This window comes from Homo sapiens, chromosome 5 (assembly GCF_000001405.40).
Source record: "Homo sapiens chromosome 5, GRCh38.p14 Primary Assembly".
In the NCBI taxonomy this organism is placed as follows: domain Eukaryota; kingdom Metazoa; phylum Chordata; class Mammalia; order Primates; family Hominidae; genus Homo; species Homo sapiens.
The window spans coordinates 36,028,987-36,053,551 of record NC_000005.10 but is presented as its reverse complement, the minus strand read 5'-3'; the positions used below and the strand labels follow the sequence as shown (position 1 = coordinate 36,053,551).

General features: G+C 42.2%; 1 protein-coding gene across 4 annotated transcripts in view, besides 1 other annotated feature; it reads left to right on the top strand.

The window, feature by feature from the left end:
* UGT3A2 (UDP glycosyltransferase family 3 member A2) overlaps positions 1-18,531 on the top strand; it is a 31,862-nt gene extending 13,331 nt beyond the window's left edge. For 3 of the 4 annotated variants that reach the window (NM_001168316.2, NM_174914.4, XM_011513988.2), the window contains 5 exons: positions 1,568-1,682; positions 4,132-4,663; positions 13,844-14,075; positions 15,536-15,755; positions 17,578-18,531. In NM_001168316.2, coding sequence (NP_001161788.1) covers positions 1,568-1,682; positions 4,132-4,663; positions 13,844-14,075; positions 15,536-15,755; positions 17,578-17,854 — 1,376 coding nt within the window. In that variant the 3' untranslated portion in view covers positions 17,855-18,531. The remainder of the gene's footprint in view (positions 1-1,567; positions 1,683-4,131; positions 4,664-13,843; positions 14,076-15,535; positions 15,756-17,577) is intronic. The other variant, NR_031764.2, reaches the window with a different exon arrangement.
* Positions 12,289-12,789: an enhancer, noted in NCBI's record as "H3K27ac hESC enhancer chr5:36040865-36041365 (GRCh37/hg19 assembly coordinates)". NCBI's record gives its function as "activates a minimal SCP1, AML or CMV promoter by ChIP-STARR-seq in primed H9 embryonic stem cells {active_cell/tissue: H9 hESC(primed)}" and the evidence as "EXISTENCE:reporter gene assay evidence [ECO:0000049][PMID:30033119]".
* Positions 18,532-24,565: the final 6,034 nt, after the last annotated feature.

Below are 24,565 nucleotides of genomic sequence, written 5' to 3'. Positions count from 1 at the left end.
TCCCTGGCGGGCACTAATGAGAGAGCCTGTTGTATTGCAACTTGGACAGATTCTAGAGCCTTCTGTTACAGGGGTTCCTATGCAATGTGGGCTGATTTTCAAGTAATAAACATGAGTGGACCTAAGTAAAATTTATAAATAAGGAATATGTTGTCTTTAAAGTGTAAAAAAGGCCTAAAAGATGTTGGGCTTGTAACATTATGGGCACAGAGATGCTCAATAATTGTTTCTTAATAGTATTGGGGATGGAGAGGTCTTCAACTAACCAAATGATCCTTTGGAATTTAAGTGAGGGACTGGGTCTGATACTTTGCATGGGACAATGGCTTATCCCCTTTGTGAGCTCCTTTTTGAATGTTTCTATGTCTTAAATGAGTGTGGCAAATGAATCTCCTCAGAGGAGGACACCCTCAATGTAATGTTATATCTGTACTCCTGGAGAAAGCTGGAAGCAGTGGCTCTTGCTGGCAAAGATTGTGGGCAATAGTAGGGCTGTTGAAGTATACTATGAGTAGCCATGCATTGTGTTTCTTCCAAGGTAAAGACACACTGTGGCTGAGAGCCTGTTAAAATCAGCATGGAAAAAAACATTCTAGCCAACTCTATGACTGCAAAGTATTTGCCAGTAGATACTTGGATAGAGTCTTTCATTTCAATTAGCTTGAGTATGAGGGCCTTAATATGTGGGGCTATCTGTTAACATACCCCCAATCCTTACACAAAATTTGATTTGGATGTGATGAAGGCACACATGCATTAAGAAGATATGAGAGGTTTATGACTCATAGGGTGAGGTATTTTTTTTTCTTTTTTTCAGAATAGCAGGACAGGCTCCCAGGCAAATCTGAAAAATGGCTTTAGAGAGCAGGGAGGGATGACTGGCTTGAGTTTTTACTGTGAGGAGGGGTAGGATGGGCTGAGGATTTCCTTTCATTGTCCTGACTTGCATGGATTGAAACTCCTACCAGGGATAAGAGAGAAGGTGTGTGTGAGTTTTCTTACCAATTTACTCAGATGAAGCATGGGGTTGGGAAGGGGAAATGGGGCTTGACATTTGTCAAGAGGCAAAGAGTGAAAATGGAGTCAGACTTCTTATTACACATGGATAATGAAGAAGGGGCCAAGCAGGCAAGTTGAGATGTAGGGGACTACTCTATTAATGAAGTCTTTTAGTACTTTTTGACTGAATTTAAAAATTATTTGCATGTATCACTTTAAATAATAAAAATGATTGTTTTTGTAAAACAGAAAGAACAGAGGCTCTGGAATCAAACAAATGTGTACTGTATTTAAACACAAACTATACCAATGTCTCACACCTGTAATCCCAGTGGTTTTTAAGGGAGCTGAGACTGCAATGAGCTAGGATTGTGCTATTGCACTCCAGCCTAAATGACAGAGCAAGACTCTGTCTCAAAAATAAATAAACGCATACATTAAAAAATACTTGAAGCAATCATTCAAATACATACATAATCTTTGAAATAAGTTTTGATATTGTTATGCTAATGTTACTCTTTTGTGTAGCATATTTAACTTTTTTTTTAACCCGTTGCTGTTTTCTTAGATTTTAAAAAGGAAGAAAAATCATATCAAGTTATCAGTTGGCTTGCACCTGAAGATCATCAAAGAGAATTTAAAAAGAGTTTTGATTTCTTTCTGGAAGAAACTTTAGGTGGCAGGTAATTGTTTTTTTATTCTTTGAACAAAAAGGTCACCATTTTCATAATACAAATGGATGGATGGATGCATGGATACTTGGAATGAGGATAAGAGAAAGTGACGAATGGATGGATGGATGGATGGATGGATGGACGGATGGATGGATTGATAGATGGAGAGACAGATGACAGGGGGAGTAGATGAGTACTGCATGCCACATCATCCAGTAAAGTCCCTGGAAATTCTTCCTTATACCGTCTTTCTTACACACTATGAGCATGAGTGCTTTTCTGCAGAAAGTGGGAAATTGTTTCTTCTGGGACTTCCTTGCAACACTTCACCTACAACAATTGCCTATAATCTCCCCAACACAGAAATTGGGATAGGCTCCTCAACTTTTCACTGTTGGTGGGAAAATTAGAGTCACCTTTTCCCACTTACTGTCTTCCCTTCTTCTTATATATATTCATAAATAAAGGGAAGGCTTATGAACATTGGGTTTGTAGAAGTTGAACATATAGCCATGCAAAGTTCTTTTAAAAAGCAATCAACCTGGTAAAAATGAAACATGAAACTGACTCCTTTTGCTTAATCTCGATGGGAAGGAACACATAACTTTTTAATCTTAGACATAAAAGAGGAAACAGAAATCTATGCCTATCTTGGTCAATCGCAGTGGCCTTACCTACTCTTCTTTCCTGGAAAATTCTACTCAGTAGTCAAGGTAGTGCTCAAATCTGACTTTTTCCATAAAGCCTCCCTCCTCACCCAAGCTGGAACACCACGTTCTCTCCTCTATACGTCTGATCTAATCCACCCATTTGACACTTAGCCTATATCATCTCGCAGAGTTAGTTATATATTTTGAGCATATGCCTTGTCTTTTCTTACCCAGTTTAATATTTTTAAGGACAGGTATAGTTAAGAGTGCATTCTTAAAATACTTTAATTTATTAGCTTAATTTTAAATATGATTAATGAACTACAGTCTAAACATTCTTACTACATTACTGGCTTTTTTTTTTTTGAGACGGAGTTTTGCTCTTGTTGCCCAGGCTGGAGTGCAATGGCGCGATCTCAGCTCACTGCAACCTCTGCCTCCAGGGTTCAAGCGATTCTCCTGCTTCAGCCTCCCAAGTAGCTGGGATTACAGGAGTGTGCCACCATGCCCAGCTAATTTTTGTATTATTAGTAGTGACGGCATTTCACCATGTTCGCCAGGCTGGTCTCAAACTCCTAACCTCAGGTGATCCACCCTCCTTGACCTCCAAAGTGCTGGGATACAGGCGTGAGCCACCGCACCCAGCCCATTACTGAAATTTTCAAAAACGTTTGGCAACTTTTCCTTTGTTATGTGAATCTTTAAAAATCTACAACAGAGGATGACTTCAGCCAATCTGCATATCACTAGTGAGGGACCTTCTCTAACTGGAGGGCAATGTACAGGTTACAGGTGTGTCAGGGAATTGATTATCTCAGTCTTCCTTGCAGCCAGTATGTTTCTGATATCTAGAGCTCTTGCACTTACTGCAGCTGGCCTAGGCATCCTCATCTATTTCCCCAAAATTCTGTAAAATAGGATCATATTCTCTGCAGGCATTATTGGGAATACATTGCAAAAGAATCGTCCCTTTGCATAGGCATATGTCAGTAAAGCTTTGACATTATCTTATCTGAATACCCCAGCCTGCATTGAGGTGGAAAGAAATAATAATAAATAATTAAATAAAAATAATAATATAAATAAGTAAACAAATATGTAAATAAATAATATATAAAATATGTAAAATAACAATAACGAATAAAAGTCAATAATAAAGGAATAATAATAAAGAAAAAAATAATGCGTTTCAAAAACCAGGTTCCTTTTGCTTTTATTTTTTCCATTGCTTAACTCCTAGGGGTAGAAAGGTGGAATTCTCATTTTCGGCTGAGATTTTTGGCTGTAATATAATCAAAGAGTTCCTTGACTGAGGCAATCTCTCATTGCCTCACTATGTGCAAACACATAGTGCTAAAACGTAGCACATATCATCAATATTGATAAACTCTATCATCAAGTTACTTACACAATTTGGTTGGATAAATAAGAAAATCACTCATAAAAACTCCATGTGTAAATGAGGGCTAAACAGAGTGTCACCTAATTTATCAATGAGATAGAACTCTGAGATCTGCTGCTCTGAGAGATGGCTCCCAGAGTAGAAGACCTTGAGTCGGCATTGATGGTGGTTGGGATTTGGATAAGGAGAGAAAAGGGGAAGGGAGAAGGGTACACTCTAGGGAGTAGAAACATTTAAGCCAGGATAATTATGGCAGAGGGTATTTGTGGGAAACTGGTTGAATTTGTGGGTGACTGCTAGAAAGGTTGTTGCTTTCCTGGGATATTTTCTTTGTATCTCAAGATACTTTTATGTACTGTAAATTTAACACTTCCCATGAATATTTATTATCATTTTTTTCTTACAGAGGAAAATTTGAAAACTTATTAAATGTTCTAGAATACTTGGCGTTGCAGTGCAGTCATTTTTTAAATAGAAAGGATATCATGGATTCCTTAAAGAATGAGAACTTCGACATGGTGATAGTTGAAACTTTTGACTACTGTCCTTTCCTGATTGCTGAGAAGCTTGGGAAGCCATTTGTGGCCATTCTTTCCACTTCATTCGGCTCTTTGGAATTTGGGCTACCAATCCCCTTGTCTTATGTTCCAGTATTCCGTTCCTTGCTGACTGATCACATGGACTTCTGGGGCCGAGTGAAGAATTTTCTGATGTTCTTTAGTTTCTGCAGGAGGCAACAGCACATGCAGTCTACATTTGACAACACCATCAAGGAACATTTCACAGAAGGCTCTAGGCCAGTTTTGTCTCATCTTCTACTGAAAGCAGAGTTGTGGTTCATTAACTCTGACTTTGCCTTTGATTTTGCTCGACCTCTGCTTCCCAACACTGTTTATGTTGGAGGCTTGATGGAAAAACCTATTAAACCAGTACCACAAGTAAGTGAACCCTCAGCATTCAGTTTGGGATTCACGCAGAGGCCTTCAGTGCATAGTTGGTGGCTGCCACTTGCCAGTAGGATCCTGAGGCTAAAGTCGGGATAGGCAAGGGAGGCACCTAGGGCATGCTTTTAAAGGAAGTGATGAGTTTCAGTGTTGTGCAAGTATAATGTTAGGCCTTGCACCATCCTGAGATCAAGGGCATCTTTATATGGATTCTTCTGGCTCCTCTCTTGCCACACCCTAGTCCTAGCCTTGATAAAATAAGCCCTGTATTAAAGTTTCATTTTTTGTTTGCATTTTTATTTTGTGTGATCACATGTACAATAAACATGTAGTTAGTGCCCATTACATGCAGTAATTGTTAAGGAGATAAGCTGCTCACAATGAAATGACAACACTATGGATTCGGAGTAAGCAGGGTGGATCTGTTTGGGTCTGACAGCAAGAACTGCCGGTGTTATCTCCAGGGTTCCCTGCCTGTAGAGCCCTGGCTCCTGGCTCCACCTAGATCTTCTGGCTTGATTTCTCTGGGGTGGACCCCTGCCACTGTAATTTGCATATGCTGCTCAGGTGATTTGAATGCACAGCGCAATTTCACAACTCAGAACCTCTGCTATAGAAATTTTTCAAAAGGAGGAGAGCTAAGATGAGTTGGCTGCCTGTTGCCTCTGAGCACTGGGTTCCCATTTTACAGAAGTTATCATATTTAATATCCTGCCACCTGTAGGGAGGTGTGATCATCTTCATTTTTATAAATGGAGAAGGACAGAAGCTCAGGTGATGTAGGTGTCCTTCCCCCACCATGTATTTCAGAGGTCCTAAGGGCCTGGACTTTGCAGCCACCCAAGCGTCTACTCTTTTAACTTGCACTGAGTGAGCAGGAAGAGTTGGGGAAAGACCTATGGGTGATATGGGCTTTGCATTTGTGGCAGGAAGTTTTAGGAATGGAGCTGAGAGGGAAAGCACCCCAGGTTGGGGAGCAGGGGTCCCAATACGTGGAGATGTAATTGAGATGGCCATAAGGCTGGCTTCCCTGGGTGGCACTGGCTACACTAGTGGAGTAGAAGGTTCAATTGCATGAGTAAAGCTGTGGGGATTTACCAGAAACCTTAGCTATCAGGTGGGTGGATCAGGCCTCCACCATGGAGTAAGGGGAGGACATTGTTAAGAGGATAACAATGGGAGTAAGGGTTGTAATGGCTGTGAGACAATATACACTTAAAAAAAATTATGTTTCTTCTCTGCATTTTCCAATTTTTATATAATGGTCTTATGTTGCCTTGTCAGTATAAAAATGATGACAAGGCTGTTTTAAAGAAGTCCTTGGGAATGGTAAGTGGTATGCTGGCTGGAATCCAGTAGAGTCTGAACCACGTAATAGAATGATGGGTTGGGAGCTGGGGTGAGCCCCTGTAGGGCAGAGAGAATCAGAATCAGAGTTCAAAGAAATATTTGGAAGTAAGAATTGGCAAAATTGTGCCAAACACAAAATGAAGACATTAGATATTGTGAGCCCAAAATATATGACGCTGGTCTCACCAATTTAGAAACTTTATTTGCCAAGGTTGAGGATGCACCCATGACAGCTTCAGGAGGTCCTGATGACATGTGCCCAAGGTGGTTGGGGCACAGGCTGGTTTTATACATTTTAGGGAGACATGAGACACCAATCAATATGTGTAAGATAAACATTGGTTTGGTCCAGAAAGGCCGGAGAAGGGGATTCTAGGTCATAGGTAGACAAGAGACAAACAACTGCATTTTTTGGAGTCTCTGACTAGCCTTTCACTGAGTGCACAATTTACAGAAATAATCACTTATGCCTTAGTCTGGGTTAGTGAAACAATAGGACAGAGGAAGCGAGCCGACATACACTTGTTTAGGAATGGAATGGGAGGAAGTTTTGCCTGATGCAGTTCCCAGCTTGACTTTTCTCTTTGGCTTAGATTTGGGGATCCTGAGATTTATTTTCCTTTCAAAACACTAACTTTGTTAAGAGCTACCTGGGGGACTTTAAGATATAAGCTGTCCAGGCCTGCTTTTGGGACAGAGCATTACTACTTTATTATTATTTTTTTAATCCACCACATCAAGGCATTGATCATTTCTTTATGTTACAAACATTCCAATTATATTCTTTTAGTTACTTGAAAATATACTACAAATTATTGTTGACTGTAGTCACCCTGTTGTGCTATCAAACACTGGACCTTATACATTCTAACTATATTTTCGTACCATTAACCATACCCACTCCCCCAGCCCCTAACTACCCATCCCAGCGTCTGGTAACAATCGTTCTGCTATCTCCATGAGTTTAATTGTTTTAATTTTTAGCTCCCATAAATGAGTGAGAACATGCAGTTTGTCTTTCCGTGTCTGGCTTAGTTCACTTAACATAATGTATTCTAGTTTCATCCATATTGTTGCAAATGACAGGATCCCTTTGTTTTTTATGGCTGATGAGTTCTCCATTGTGTACATATACTATATTTTCCTTATCCATTCATCTGATGTTGGAAATTTAGATTGATTCCATATCTTGGCTACAGCGAATAGTGCAGCAATAAACACGGAAGTGCAGGTATCTCTTCAGTATAGTGACTTCTTTTCTTTTGGGTGTATACTTAGCAGTGAGATTGCTGAATCATATGGTAGTTCTAGTTTTAGTTTTTCGATGAACCTCTAAACTGCTTTCCATAGTGGTTGTACTGATTTAAATTCCCACAAACAATGTGCGAGTTTGCTTTCTCCACATCCTTGTTATTGCCTGTCTTTTGGATGAAAGCCATTTTAACTGGGGTGAGATAATATCTCATTGTAGTTTGGTTTGCATTTCTGTGATAATCAGTGACACTGAGCAAACCTTTTATATGCCTGTTTGCCATTTGTATGTCTTTTGAAAAATGTCCATTCAGATCTTTTATTTTTTAATCAGGTTATTAGATTTTTTTTTCTCGTAGAGTTGTTTGAGCTTTTATGTATTCTAGTTATTAATCCTTTGTCAGAAGAAGAATTTACACACATATTTTTTCCCATTCCGTGGGTTATCTCTTCTCTTTGTTGATAGTTTCCTTTGTTGTATAGAAGCCTTCTAACTTGATGTGATCTCATTTGTCCATTTTTCCTTTGGTTGCCTGCATTACACAAGAAAAAGAAATCTGTCCAGATCAACATCCTGGAGCGTTTCCCCAATGTTTTCTTTTAGTAGTTTAATAGCTTGAGGTCTTAGATTTCAGTCTTTTTCTTTTCTTTTCTTTTCTTTTTCTTTTCTTTTTTTTTTTTGAGACTGAGGACTGAGTTTTGCTCTTGTTGCCCAGGCTGGAGTGCAGTGGTGCGATCTTGGCTCACTGCAACCTCCACCTCCTGGATTCAAGCGATTCTCCTGCCTCAGCCTCCCGAGCAGCTGGGATTACAGGCACCCGCCTAATTTTTTGTATTTTTAGTAGAGACAGGGTTTCACCATGTTGGCCAGGCTGGCCTCAAACTCCTGTCCTCAGGTGATCCACCTGCCTCAGCCTCCCAAAGTGTTAGATTTAAGTCTTTTAATCCATTTTGATTTGATTTTTGTATATGATGAGATATAGAGGTCTAGTTTTATTCTTCTGCATATGCATATCTAGTTTTTTTTTAGCACCATTCATTGAAGAGACTGTCTTTATGTTCTTGGCACCCTTGTCAAAAATAAGTTCACCGCAGATGTATGGATTTATTGCTGGGTTGTCCATTCTGTTCTGTTGGTCTATGTGCCTTGTTTTTTATGCCAGTACCATACAGTTTTGGTTACTATAGTCTTGTAGTATAACTTGAAGTCAGGTAATGTGATTCTTCCAGTTTTGTTCTTTTTGCTTGGGATGGCTTTGGCTATTCTGGGTCTTTTGTGGTTCCATATAAATTTTAGGATTATTTTTCCTCATTCTGTGAAGGATGTGATTGGTATTTTTATAGAGATTGAATTGAATCTGTAGATTGCTTTGGGTAGTATGGACATTTTAACAATATTGATTCTTCCAGTGCATGAACGTGGAATAGCTTTCCAGTTTTTAAAATGTCCTCTTCAATTAATTGCATCAATGTTTTATAGTTTTTATTGGAGAGATCTTTTACTTCTTTGTTTAACTTTATTCCTAGGTATTTTATTTTGTTTGTGGGCATTGTAAATGTAATTACTTTCTTGATTTCTTTTTCAGATTATTCACTGTTGGCATATAGAATTGCTACTGATTTATATATATTGATTTTGTATCCTGCAACTTTACTGAATTTGTGGATCAGTTCTAATAGTTATTTTGGTAGAGTCTTTAGGTTTTTCCAAATATAAGATTATATAATTTGCAAACTAGCATAATTTAACTTCTCCCCTTCCAATTTAACTGCCCTTTATTTCTTTCTCTTTTCTGATTGCTCTAGCTAGAACTTCCAGTACTATGTTGAATAACTGTGGTAAAAGTGGGCATCCTTGTCATGTTAGAGGAGTGGTGTTCAGTTTTTCCCCATTTAGTGTGATACTAACTTTGGGTGTGTCATATATGGCTTTTATTGTGTTGAGGTATGTTTCTTCTATAATCAGTTTTTTTAGGGTTTTTATCATGAAGGGACTTTGAATTTTATTGAATGCTTTTTCAGCATCAATTGACATGATCATATGGTTTTTTTCATTCATTCTGTTGATATGATGAATCACATTGATTGATTTGCATATGTTGAACGATCCTTCAGTCCCTCAGATAAATCCCACTTGCTCATGATGAATGATCTTTTTAATGTGTTGTTGATTTTGGTTTGCTAGTATTTTGTTGAGGATTTTTGCCTTAATATTCATCAGAGATATTAGCCTGTAGTTTCCTTTTTCCGATGTGTATTTGTCTGGTTTTGGTATAAAGGTAATACAGGCCTTTTATTCCCCTCTCTTCTATGTTTTTTAGAATAGTTTGAGTAGGATTGGTATTAGTTCTTTAAATGTTTGGTAAAATTCAGCATTGATGACATTGGGTCCTAGGCTTTTCTTTGCTAGGAGACTTTTTATTACAACTTTAGTCTCGTTACTTGTTATTGGTCTGTTCAGGTTCAGGATTTCTTTAAGGATTAATCTTGGCAAGTTGTATGTGTTTAGGAATGTATTCATTTCTTCTAGGTTTTCCAATTTATTGGCATATAGTTGCTCACAGATGTTTCTAATGATCCTTTGAATTTCTGTAGCATCAGTTGTAATGTCTCTTTTTTTAGCTCTGATTTTATTTGGGTTTTCTCTCTTTTCTTAGTTTGGCTAAAGGGTTGTCTATTTTCTTATCTTTTCAAAACCAAACTTTTCATTTCATTGATCTTTTTTTTAAATTTTAAATTTCATTTATTTCTGCTGTGATCTTTATGTCTTTCTTCTACTATTTTTGGGTTTGGTTTGCTCTTGATTTTCCAATTCTTTAAGATGCATCCGTAGGTTGTTTATATGAAGTCTCACTCTTTTGATGTAGGCACTTATAGCTATAAATATTCCTCTTAGTATCGTTTTCACTGTATTTCATAGGTTTTGGTATGTTTTCTTTTCATTATCATTTGTTTCAATACATTTTTAAATTTCCTTCTTAATTACTTCATTGACCTACTGGTCATTCAGGAGCATATTGTTTTTTTCCATGCATTTGTATAATATCCAGAGTTCCTCTTGTTATTGACTTATAGTTTTATTCCATTGTGGCCTAAGAAGGTAGTTGATATAATTTCAATTTTTTTGAATTTCTTAAAAGTTGTTTTATGGCCTAATGTATGGTCTATACTTAAACATGGTCCATGTGCTGAGTAGAAGAATGTCTTTTTTGCAGTCATTGGATGAAAATTTCTGCAAATATTATTAGGTTCACTTAATCTGTAGTGCAGATTAAGTTCAATGTTTCTTTGTTGATTTTCTGTCTGGATGATGCGTCCAATGCTGAAAGTGTTGCATTTTCCATCTATTATTTTATTGGGGTCTATCTCTCTCTTTACCTCTAATAATGTTTGCTTTCTATGTCTGGGTGCTCCAGTTTTGAGTGCCTATATATTTATAATTGTTATATGTGCTTGCTGAATCAACCTTTATAAAATTATATAATAACCTTCTTTGTCTCTTTTCATGGTATTTGTCTTGATATCTATTTTATCTGATGTAAGTATAGCTACTCCTTCTTTTTTCTTGGTTTCCACTTTCATGGAATATCTTTTCCTATCCCTTTATTTTCAGTCTATGTGTGTTTTTATAGGCAGTGTGTTTCTTGGAGGCAACATGTTAAGTCTCTTTTTTTATTCATTCAATCACTCTTTCTGTTTTGATTGGAGAGTTTAGTCTGTTTACATTCAATGTTATTATTTGTAAGTAAGGACTTACTCCTGTCATTTTGTTATTTGTTTTCTGGTTGTGTTGTGATCTTCTCTTTCTTCTTTCCTTTCTTCTTGTCTTCCTTTTAGTGAAAATGATTTTCTCTGGTGGTATGTTTTAATTTCTTGAATTTTATTTTTTGTGTATCTGTTTTAAGTTTTGTGATTTGAGGTTACTACAAGGCTTGCAAGTAACATCTTATAACCCATTATTTTAATCTGATGACAACTTAACTTTGATTGCAAAAAGAAACAAACAATTAAGCAAAAAAGAACAGTAATAAAAATTCTACACTTTATCTCCCAGTCCGCTAAGTTTTTGTTGGTTCTATTTATATCTTATTATATTGTCGAAGCTCACTTATTCTTTCTTCTGCTTGATCAATTCTTCTGTTAAGAGACTCTGAGGCATTCTTCGTTATGTCAAATGCATTTTCAACTCCAGAATTTCTACTTTTTTGTTTTTAATTCTTTCAATCTCTTTGCTAAATTTAGCTGATAGGATTCTGAATTTCTTCTCTGTGTTATCTTGAATGTCACTGAGCTTCCTCAAAACGGTTATTTTGAATTCCGTGTCTGAAAGGTCACATTTTTCTGTGTCTCCAGGATTAGTTGCTGGTGCCTTATTTGGTTCGTTGGGTGAAGTCATGTTTTCCTGGATGGTCTTGATGCTTGTAACTTGTTCATCAATGTCTGGGCATTGAAGAGTTAAGTATTTATTCTAATCTTTGCAGTCTGGGCTTGTTTGTACCTGTCCTTCTTGAGAAAGCTTTCCAAGTGTGCAAAGGGAATTGAGTGTTGTGATCTAAGTCTTTGGTCACTGCACCTGTGTCTGCATTAGGGGGCACTCCAAGCCCAGTCATGCTGACTCTTGCAGCCTTGTAGAAGTACCACCTTGGTGGTCTTAGGTAAGAGCCAGGAGAATTCCTTGGATTACCAGGCAGAGTCTGGTTCTCTTCCCTTACTTTCCCATATACCAACAGAGTTTCTCTCTCTCCCTGTGCTAAGCTGCCTGGAGTTGGGGGAGGGGTGACACAAACACTCTCATGACCACCTCCCCTGAAATTGTGCTGGATTACACTTGAAACCAACACAGCACTGGACCTCATCCAAGACCTATGATAACTATTGTCTGGTTACTGCTGATGTTTATTCAAGGCTCAAGAGCTCTTTAGTCAACAGGTGCTGAATTCTTTCAAGCCTCTACCTTTCCCTTTAGGGCAGCAGGTTTCCTTCTGTCCCAGGTTGGGTCTAGGAATTCTGTCCAGGAACTGGGTCCTGGAATTGGGAATTGTAGGGATCTACTTACTCTATTCCCTCCCTTCCTAAAGCAGGAGTCTCGCCCATGGCCACCCCACCCCAAGCCTGTGAGAAGTACTGCCTGGCTACTGCTGATGTTTATTTTAGGCCCGAGGGCTTTTGAATTAGCAGGTGGTGAATCCTGCCAGGCTTAGGTCTCTCCCTTCAGGGCAGCAGGTTCTCTTCTGACCCAGGGCATGTCTAGCAATGTTGTCCAGGAGCTAAGGCCTAGATGTGGAGATGTTAGGATTCTCCTTGGTGCTTAATTTTACTGCAGCTAAACTAGTACCCACATTGCAAGACAAAGACTTTTTAACTCTTCCCTCTCCTCTCCTGGAGGAAGGAGTCTCTCCTGGAGCTCTGAGCTGCCCTGCCTGGAGTTGGGGGAGGGGTGACACCAGCACTCCCTTGGCTGCCCTGGCTGGTGTCTCACCAGGTCATGTGCACTCCAGGGATTTTAGTTCTTGTGGCCTAGATTGCCTTTCAAGTTTATTTTGAACCCCAGAGCACTTTAGCCTGCGGTGCTTGGTCTAACCAGCACTGAGGTTCCTACTGCTGAGGTGGATGATTCCATTCTAGCAAGGGCTGGTCTAAATGCTCCCTGCATGGGTGCCAGCTGAATTCTTCCCTGTGTTGCTTTGCTCTGTGACTGCAGAGCACTGACTTCCACTGCAAAGTCTATAGTCACTGTGCTCTGCCTCCCCTAAGCACACAGATTCTGTCTCTGCACCACATGGTAATTGAAGACTGTCTTTCCTACCTTCTCAGTGCCTTTTTCCTCGGTATGATGTTAAAACCAGGAATGGTGATTGCTCACCTCATTTTTTTTTGTTCTTATGAAGGTGTTTTCTTGTGGATAGTTGTTAATTTGGTATTCCTTCGGGGGGCAAAATCACTTCAGGGTTCTATTCTGCCATCTTGCTCCACCTCCCTATGGCATTGCTGCTTTTAAAATATATTTTTCTGTGGTTATAATTTGCAGTCCTGTGGGTGAACTACTGAGGTAGAGGATGAAGCGTGTACAAAAAGATCAGTGACCGAGACTATCATAAAACATTAGAGGAAAACACACTGAAAGGGTACATTTTGTGTAGATGAAGAGGAGCCTTACCCTATGCTGCCACCATTTCTGCCTGCAACAGAAGTGTTCTCCCAGCATCTCCATTCCAGCCTCCAGAAGTCCCACTCCTTGTGTTGGACCCTGGCCACCTACTAGTACTCTTCCAGATACTATTACCTCTAGTCTGACCTTAGAAAACTCCTGTGACTCCCTGGACCTATAATGGGTGGAAGGTCAAGAAAGGCCTGATAGTAGGGTCAGGGTTTCAAGAAGAAAGATGTTCCCACCAACACAAAGGACATGACCACAGTGCAGCTAGTATCGAGCTATACTAGGAGCTATAATAATAGCTTTGGGACAGTGAGGACAGGGCACTGTGTTAGTAAATACTCTGGCTTTCATTTTCTGGTCAACTAGGCTTTCACCAATAATTTTGTCACCTCTTTACCTTGGTAATCTTTCTCCAGGACTTGGAGAACTTCATTGCCAAGTTTGGGGACTCTGGTTTTGTCCTTGTGACCTTGGGCTCCATGGTGAACACCTGTCAGAATCCGGAAATCTTCAAGGAGATGAACAATGCCTTTGCTCACCTACCCCAAGGGGTGATATGGAAGTGTCAGTGTTCTCATTGGCCCAAAGATGTCCACCTGGCTGCAAATGTGAAAATTGTGGACTGGCTTCCTCAGAGTGACCTCCTGGGTAAGGGCTGCCCAGGACTGCTCCTCTCCTTCCACTGACCTGTCTTTGGGGCTCATCACGGCTCTGACCTTTAGCTGGACATTTGTACCCACTGGTGAATGGTACAGGTAAGGCTCAGTGGGCAGAAAAGTAGCAGCCAGCTGGAGTTCTTGGGAAACCAGGCTATACTTCCAATGGGATCAGATGCCAAAGCAGCCAACTTTCCTTCATTCTTTTCTATCCCAGACCTGATGTCTGCAGTCCTATGTGATATTCCTGTCAAGTCTCTTTAACCCTACTGCATTTGGTCTTGGACAAGGTCACCCAAACAAAATTAAAGACAACCTATCAACTCTGAATGTATATACTAGGGGTTGGGAGAGGTGCCACAAATTTTAGTTACTTTGTGAGCACCAGTTCAACCACATGGACTTACACAAACACACATCCACACATAAATATGGACACATCCTCTTAATTTACTAAGGGTCTGAGCAACTTCTACCATCACAAGATTAATGCCAATGATGTCTTTAGGATGTGCCAACATACCTGTGTGCCAAGCTTAGCAACTTCACAGTTGGTGATTTGGTCTACCGAGTTGTCTGGGACCAGAGAGCTCCCTCACCCCCAACAGGTTTTCTCTGTGCTCTGTGCTGCCATAGACACTGACTAGAGCAGAGATTCACAACGAAGATCATGGCTGAAAAGAATCTGGGCAATTTAAGAAGTAGATTCCTGGTCCTACTTCTGTGAATATATTTTTTAAAATTCTGGGGTAGGGCATATGCCTCCCATTTCAAAGAAGAGACAAGGAGTCTGATGCACATTGCAGTTGAGTGACCCAGGTTGAGATGTGCTTGTCATTATCAACCATCACTTTAGTTAGCTCTAAGTAACGCTGGCATGGAAAGACAGGAACTGGAAATACAGAGGCGAAGGATCCAGTCTACTTTCAAGGCACTTCTCTTATAATTGAGGACACCATACGGTCAATACAAGTTTTATGAGTGACATATGAGTTGTGATGTCAACAAATATGTCAGGAATACAAGAAAAGGGAAATCAGCTGTCAGTGGATAAAAGAGGGCTCAATATAGGCAGACAGAGGAGGTAGAAACAGAGAGACACACAGAATACAGATGAGAGAAGCAAAGAAAGGCACAGGGAGGACAGAGAGAAGGAAGAATGGATGGACAGAGAGATGTATGCCTTGCTTAGCACTCTTCTCTACAGAATTCACTCAATTCTAAGCCTTAGCTGAATTTCTGGCTGAGGGAAGATGTTTCCATACGATAGCAACGCTTGGAATCTTGTATCTTGGAACTGTAACATTGGATGTGTCCCAAGCACAGTCATTAGATACAATGTCTCCAACACACCACTAGATCCCCTTGGCACTTTCTTATCCCCTTCATCTCTGCCTGATGTTTTGAAATTTTCATCCTGAAGTGTCCCACCCTCTTTCTTATTTACAACAGCTCACCCAAGCATCCGTCTGTTTGTCACCCACGGCGGGCAGAATAGCATAATGGAGGCCATCCAGCATGGTGTGCCCATGGTGGGGATCCCTCTCTTTGGAGACCAGCCTGAAAACATGGTCCGAGTAGAAGCCAAAAAGTTTGGTGTTTCTATTCAGTTAAAGAAGCTCAAGGCAGAGACATTGGCTCTTAAGATGAAACAAATCATGGAAGACAAGAGGTATGCAGCTCCTTGGGGTTGTGGTCATAATGACGAATGAAGGCAAAAACACTAAGGGCACTATGGGAGTCTGTTTTTTTGGTTTTGTTTTGTTTTGCTTTAGATTAAAACTGTATTTTCCAGGACATGGGATAATATGTGTGTGATGCCAACAGCTGACCTGTGTCCTCTGAGAGCAAGACTAGAGCATTTAAGTTAGATGCTAAGAATCACTTCCTACCTTTTCATTTTGGGGAACCTGGACTATGTACAGGGGGTCTCTGTGAGCTATGTTTCAGGTCAATTGGAATTCAGGTCAGCGGGATTCCAACTGAGGCAGGAGATTGCCTTTCTGTTACCCAAATACTCCGCACTCTTCTCCCCCTTGGCTTTTTGTTTGTGGTGCTCCCTCTTCACATACTGGCTCCTTTGTTGCATTCCGGTCTCATCTCCAACTCATTTCTTCTTAGAGTTCGCCTCTGACAGTCCTGAGTAACTTCTTCTCCCACCTACCCCAGTTACATCATTTCCTTCTTAACACTTCTTAAGGTCTGTAATTACCTCATTTATTTATGTGTTTGTTTGTTTACAGTCTCTTTATGTTGCCCAGGCTGGTCTCAAACTCCTGGGCTCAAATGATCCTCCTGATTCAGCCTCCCGAGTAGCTGGGATTACATAAGCCACCATGCGCAGCTTGTGTTTTCATTTATTATTTGTCCCCCTCACCTTCCAACCAGAGAGTGGAGAGTTAGCTTAATGAGGACAGCAGCATGTGTCTCTTGTTTTCTGCTATCTTCTTAGCACCTAGCACAGGATCTGCCACAAAGTAAATGGTTAATGAATTTTAGTTAAGTGAAGCAATAGAAGGGGCCCAGTGACCTCCAAGGTAACTAACTGCATATCCAGCACAGTGATCTCATGTGAAGAGAAAAATACACCTCATGTAATAAGTAAAAAGGACTGAATAATTTATTAGAGTTTCAAGGGCACAAACCAAAATCGGACCTCAAGGCTTAACATGTACTAGGAGACACTCAGCAGTTCTAGCTAGATGACTTAAAACAACCACGTAGCTCATGGTTCTTAGACTTAGAAGAGTCATTAAATTCCATGGGTTGGTTAACTCCAGATCAATTTTATATATTTGCAATTTCATGTATTGCAGTTGGTCATTTTCTGAAAAATGTGTTTGTAGCTTTCGTTGGATTTTTCAATGACCTAGACCCAAAATGACCATTCTGAGCTGGGATGGTCCTCAGACATTGTACATAAATAGGGCCAGCTTCACAATTTGTAGGACCTGGTGTAAAATAAAAGTGTGGAGCCTCTTATTATAAAGTTTGAGAACTTCGACATGGTGAAACCAAGTACAGGATGCTACTAATTATGTGGTACAAATATGCAGCCTGCAGCCCAGGAAGCCAGCCCTGGTCAACATCATGTTCTGATGGTGCAGGAATGTGTAGGCTTTAGCCTGTGCCTAACATTCCCCAGAGTGAGACTTGTCACCCCATCTAGAGACTGGCACATGGAGGTGCTCCATGTATATGTATAATAATTACATCATATATAATTTTCCTAGGGCACATCATAAGCCTCCTTGGAGTAGGGACTAGTCTTTGTGGACTTAGTCACTTTTTTTAAGTTTAAGACTTTTAGCATTATACATGGATCTTTGCTTGTAGGTGTCATGATTAAATTTCAAGGGGAACCAGGTAGATTACTGCAAAGCCAACAGAATTTCCTTGGAACTCAGTCTTTGGTGCATCATATAGAACGGATCATACATTCTAACTCTTGTGAGGTCACATTAGTAATGCCCCCTCTCTATCTCTCTCAACAGATACAAGTCCGCGGCAGTGGCTGCCAGTGTCATCCTGCGCTCCCACCCGCTCAGCCCCACACAGCGGCTGGTGGGCTGGATTGACCACGTCCTCCAGACAGGGGGCGCGACGCACCTCAAGCCCTATGTCTTTCAGCAGCCCTGGCATGAGCAGTACCTGCTCGACGTTTTTGTGTTTCTGCTGGGGCTCACTCTGGGGACTCTATGGCTTTGTGGGAAGCTGCTGGGCATGGCTGTCTGGTGGCTGCGTGGGGCCAGAAAGGTGAAGGAGACATAAGGCCAGGTGCAGCCTTGGCGGGGTCTGTTTGGTGGGCGATGTCACCATTTCTAGGGAGCTTCCCACTAGTTCTGGCAGCCCCATTCTCTAGTCCTTCTAGTTATCTCCTGTTTTCTTGAAGAACAGGAAAAATGGCCAAAAATCATCCTTTCCACTTGCTAATTTTGCTACAAATTCATCCTTACTAGCTCCTGCCTGCTAGCAGAATTCTTTCCAGTCCTCTTGTCCTCCTTTGTTTGCCATCAGCAAGGGCTATGCTGTGATTCTGTCTCTGAGTGACTTGGACCACTGACCCTCAGATTTCCAGCCTTAAAATCCACCTTCCTTCTCATGCGCCTCTCCGAATCACACCCTGACTCTTCCAGCCTCCATGTCCAGACCTAGTCAGCCTCTCTCACTCCTGCCCCTACTATCTATCATGGAATAACATCCAAGAAAGACACCTTGCATATTCTTTCAGTTTCTGTTTTGTTCTCCCACATATTCTCTTCAATGCTCAGGAAGCCTGCCCTGTGCTTGAGAGTTCAGGGCCGGACACAGGCTCACAGGTCTCCACATTGGGTCCCTGTCTCTGGTGCCCACAGTGAGCTCCTTCTTGGCTGAGCAGGCTTGGAGACTGTAGGTTTCCAGATTTCCTGAAAAATAAAAGTTTACAGCGTTATCTCTCCCCAACCTCACTAAATGATTGGCCAAGAGATTTCTGTCCTAATTGCCCAGAATTCTGTCATCTGGCTACTCAAGGCTATCGGGGAATGGGGCAAGTTTGCACTGGCAGCTGGCCAGGATGAAGGCAGCGGGAAGTGGGTGGAGGGTTAGCTAACCTGTGGGGTCTGAAGAAAGAGAAAAGTGGCCAAAAATCCTCCAGAATGCTTGACCTGTTGAACCAGAATGTTTTGCTATTTAGTCTTGGCCTATATTCATGCAACCTAAGCAGCAAGCTATCATGGGCATGCTGATAAAGAAACACTTCTGTTTCCTGGTTACAGTCTCTGGCTGGACCTGAGGAAGCACTGAATTGGCTTCAATGACTTTCTAAGTGTGTTGGGGATGCTGAGGTAGGCAGCCAGAGCAGATGATTTCAATCATAGAGCCCCAGCTCCATGTGGATGAGAAGGGGGAATGCAATTGTAGCTGTGTTTCCAAGGACAGGACTGCATGTTTTTCCTTGAGAGACCATTACCACAAACCAGTGGGCACTAAACCCTAAGTAATATAAGAAGAGTAAAAGACACCCTATTTAGTGTTGTGTAGAAAATATGATTTGCAAATTGACTCTTTTCAGTCAGTGTGGCTCTGAAGTCCTCAGTGCAAAGGAATTTTTTTTTTTCGCTCTTGTTGTCCAGGATGGGGTGGAGTTTCGCTCTTGTTGTCCAGGCTGGAGTGGAGTGGAATGGCACGATCTCAGCTCACCACAACCTCTGCCTCCCGGGTTCAAGCTATTCTCCTGCCTCAGCCTCCCGAGTAGCTGGGATTACAAGCGTGCGCCACCACGCCCAGCTAATTTTGTATTTTTAGTAGAGATGGGGTTTCTCCATGTTGGTCAGGCTGGTCTTGAGCTTCCTACCTCAGGTGATCCGCCCTGCCTCGGCCTCCCAAAGTACTGGGATTACAGGTGTGAGCCACCATGCCTGGATGGTGCAAAGGATTTTGTACTAATGAGTAGGAGGTATGTATCCACATCAAAGTGTCCCCACATGTACGGGAGAATGGAGACTTTAGGCTTACTAATAGGTGTTAGAATTAATCTTAGCATCCATGTTTACTGTTTCCTTGTGAAGCCTACCCACTCTTTGCTAACCTCCTCCCTTTTGACTGGCATTACGTTTTAGAAAATGTGTAGGTTGGTGTCAGGGTGGAGGAAAGAGCACACCATGGGGACTTTTCCCTTCTGGGGCCTCCACAATCTGCATGTAATGAAATGCTGCATGTGTGATAAAGATAAACAAGAAGAGCACATAACACCCACAGAACCCATAGCTTCCCAAGAGATGAAATACCAGATTGTAGCAGAGCTATCTCCTGAAATCCTGCTGCCAGTTTTTATGGAGTGCTAATGAGTCTGTAAATATTGTGCTTGTGAAGCAGGCTCACTGTGTACTGGTTCCCACTTTTTCTGAGTATAGTGAAACAGATCATTTCTCCCCATATGAGTTAGATGAAGTGGACCTATTATTTATAGATTGGCAGCAAGGGACAACAGAAGTCCAGGATTCATTGCCAGCTGATCCCCCAAGGCTCAGGGACTTCCCCAGGGTGGATGGCATCTCATCTGCCTGTGCCCCACTTGCACCACAGCTGAGGCACACAGGGAAGCAGCCCACCCTGGTTTTGTACCTCAGGGACAGCATGACATACTGGGCTACAGTATTGAAAGACCTCCTGTTTTGGGGTGACTGGAACAGAGCCCTGGCTGTTTCAGCCAGACTCTCCCTATATCCAGATGTTGCTGATCCAGCACATTCTACATTATTCCTGTGACCTGCAAACCATAGCTACAATACTTTTTACCATGCCCAAGGTGACTACTACCACAAGGAGGATGAGCAGGCCTGCCCAGGGCAGTAACCTAAGTAACCTAGCCTGGGATCCCCAGGATCTAGGTTAGAAGTTGCTAAAGGGCTCAGAGAAGGTTCTTTCAGTGGCCCCACTGTCTGCAATCAGATCTTCTCTACCTGTGTTTCAGCAATACCTGAGTTGTTTATCCAGGTACAGCAGGAGGTGTAGGCAGTTGCATACACTCCTCCTAGTTGGGCTAAAAGGCGGTCTAGAGTGATTCTGTTGTCTAAAATAATCTTCCCAAGAGAGTTGAGGGATGTCTGCTGGGCTACCAAAGCAGTGGCAGTAAAGGAAGCAACATCTGCCATGGTCAGGGACAGGCTTATGATTATTTCTTTAGGAGTACTGACTCCTATTCATGCTATTAAAGATCTCATAAAGAATGTAAACCCAGATTGTGATGAGGAGATATACCTAATGCTAAATGACGAGTTAATGGGTGCAGCACACCAACATGGCACATGTATACATATGTAACAAAACTGCACATTGTGCACATGTACCCTAAAACTTAAAGTATAACAATGAAAAAAAAAAGAATGTAAACCCAGAGTCACTTATACCTTCTGATATATCTCTAGTTGGCTGGGTGTACAGCTTTAGGCTGTTGGCCCAATGATGAATCTCATTCCCAGGAGTGGTATATAGGGAGGGGCACCCCCAGCATGCAGGACCCAGCCATCCACTGGATTTCCAGGCACAGACATTGCTCATCCCATTTTTGGGTCACCCTCAGACTGCCCATAAAGAAATATGTAGCTATCAGGGGTACATAGCACCCTTTATCCCATTTTATTGTTCAGTGGCCTACTAATGGGTATGGAGGCACAGCCATTTGCAGCTAAGTCATAGTTGCATGAGCTCAGTTTCACCCTACACTATTGTTTATAATGTCCCTTCAGAAAGGGCTAGCATTATTGCCGTCCTTGTTTTCGTCATTGCCACTGGGACACTTATCTTTCATGTAATCAAATAAAAGTAGTGTGTCAGGCCAGGCATGGTGGCTCACGCCTGTAATCTCAGCACTTTGGGAGGCTGAGGTGTGTAGATCACCAGAGGTCAGGAGTTCAAAACCAGCCTGGCCAACATGGTGAAATCCCATCTCTACTAAAAATACAAAATTAGCCAGGCATGGTGGCGGGTGCCTGTAATCCCAGCTACTTGCGAGGCTGAGGCAGGAGAATCACCTGAACCCAGGAGGCAGAGGTTGCAGTGAGTTGAGATCATGCCACTGCACTCCAGCCTGGGTGACAGAGCAAGACTCCGTCTAAAAAAAAAAAGAAGAAAAGAGAGAAAAGAAAAGAAAAAAAGAAAGTAGTATGTTAAACTATTAGCCCACCAAGGCTTTACTAATTGTGGTCATGACATTTTGCTACCTTAGGCCAGTTAAGTTAAAACAGGGCACCTCTGGTTCCCTTTCATGGCAGGATGAGAGGGCCACTGTGGTCTGTGACAGAATAAGATCTAGGGTGGCCGATCCAGCACTTCATCAGTTGACCCATTGTATTAGGCCATTCCTGCATCACTATGAAGGAATACCTGAGACTGGGTAACTTATAAGAAAAAAATGTAATTGGCTCATGATTCTGCAGGTTTTACAGGAAACATGGCATCAACATCTGCTTCTGGGGAGGCCTCAGGAAGCTTTCACTCAGGGCAGAAGTTGAAGCGAGAGCAGGTACGTCACATAGCAAAGCAGGAGTGAGAGGGTTGGAGGGAGGCGCCACACTCGACAACAACCAGATCTTGTGAGAACTCACTCACTATCGCGAGGCCAGCACCAAGCCTTGAGGGATCTTCCCCCAACATCCAAATACCTCCCACTGGGTGGCACCTCCAACAATGGGGATTACATTTTAACATAAGATTTTGTGGGGGCACAGATCCAACCCATATCACCCATAGTGACCACAGCTTGGGAGGACCTAAAGAAGGCATTGTGCTTCCAGGCCTCTGCTGCCATGTCCTTGTGGAGAAAATAGAATGACAGGTTGGTGCCCCACCCCCACACCTTCTGGAGTATCTTGTGTTCCCTACTTATTGGATAGGAGTTGGGCTCAGTTGGTGCAGCACCCAGTCCAGAGGCTACTACCTCTTTGGCACCCACTGTCCTTGTTGCTTAACCTAGACCTGTCAGCCTCTGTTTTTCAGTCCAGAAAGGGAGGAAACACCCTGTAAAAACTTGACATGTCTGAAAACACCACTCACCCGACTGGAAAGATCAGATGTCCCTGGAGCCAACAGAGGGACCTGTGCATGGTGGTATTCCTTGGTCCTATCCATTACTCTATGAGACTCCATATAGGGGAGTTAACAGGTGGAAGCATCATCTCCAGTTTAGATTTTGTGAGCCCTGTCTGGGGTACTATGGAGGCCCAAACCACAAGCCACCCCTGGGAGGTGCATTCTAAAGGCAGAAAGGAAAAAGAGCGGTTGAGAATACTGTTATTGGGATTTCACAGGTGTAGCCTAATCAAGCAGCTGCCTGATCCACCTCCACACTCACCAAGCCTAATGTTTCCCGACATGCTCTCAGGGCTGTGCTTCCCTGGCACTGGAGAGCAGTGTTTAGTGTCCTTATTGCCCTAGTCAGATAGGGGTACTATCCCACTAGCAGACTGTTCCTTGGTCAGAGTGAAGTCCTGCAGTGTATCCAAAAAGATGATATAAATTCTTTTCATGGGTTGCCATGGTAGTCCCAGCATCCACACAAGTGACAGATATTTCTCCCTTTTAGGCAGCGAGTGGTTGTAGTCTTTGTTCCCACTCAGAGGTCCTTTAATAGTTCAGTCACTTGGTTGACATTTTCGTGACCTGAGAGTGAACAGCCCATCAGTCAAAACATATGTATTAAGATATGGTAGCAGGGGTGGCTGGCATGGCCATCACCACTGTGTGAAGTTGGCCCATTGGGCAGAACATCTATGTCCAGTATAAGTCAAGAGATGGCCATTCACTGGCTGGCCAGCTGTAAGTTACATCTGGGAAACCACAAGAGATCCCATCTGTTTGTAGTTTCCCAGAGCCATCTGTAAACCAAGAAATGCCAAGTGGCCTTGGCATTCAGCCTGCAACAGTCCATTGTTAGTCTTCATGCCCTGAAGGCCTTTTTGACCAGTCAAACTGGGCTGTTACATTGCAATAGGATGTTTTGTATCAAATCCAGAATTAAAAAAGCAATGTGCACTTCTGCACTCAGTATGCGGTACAGCTTTTGTTGAATAACCCACTGGGACTTGGGTAGCTTAGGTGATAGGCAGGAGTGGATATGTCCCATTGTTATGGCTCAAATTCTTGGCTGTGAGGGGCAGAGCTTCTCAGGCAGCCGTGATGTTCTGTACCAGAGCAGCCAACATGTCAATGCCTGTAATAATGCACTCAGGGGTAGGAACTGCAGTCACTGCCACACAAAATGGCACAAAAAGCCTTATCCAAAGCAGATAAACACCTTCAGTCACTGTGTTCATCCTAAAACTTCCTGATGTCATCGGTTTAATTTTTTCCCTTTCCTCCTTTTAGCTTGACAGCAGTATAAGACCACTGGTCTCTGGTGGGTACCTGGAGACCTTAACCTTACCCCTAATTGCACCATCCAGCCAGACATTTGGGTCTGCATTACCCCTTCTTCAAACAACCACACTAACCATGCTGTGTGAGACTTCCCTGGGCTTTCTCCGTATCTGCCCTTTGAAAAGAAAGTCTCCCTCTTAGTCAGGTCCCACATCTCATGTTGGTTCTCACTCAGAGACCTCAGGGATCAGCTGAGACTGTCTTTCCTCTTCCCTCTCAAGTGCCTCAGGCTGCTACTGAGTTCCCACTCCTGGAAGTTTCCAGCCCCAGGAATGAGCGATTACATAAGTGCCCCCAAACCAGAGGATTACGAGCTGCAGTCACATTTCCACATCCCTTTCTGCTGCCTATGTTCATGCAGCCAGCTTGTTCACATCTTTGTGGGTGACTTTTGTTCCACTTCTCACTGTTCCATCCCCAGAAAACATCCAGATGCATGTTCAGACCCTGCAACCCAGACTGGCCTTTCCACCATGTGTTAGAAACTGGGGGGTATCACCCCTCCTGTTTCACTAATAAGCCATGCTTCTGTCAGACCGAACCGTGCTTGCTGTGCCAATTTTGTTAAACAGGTTCACTGTGCAC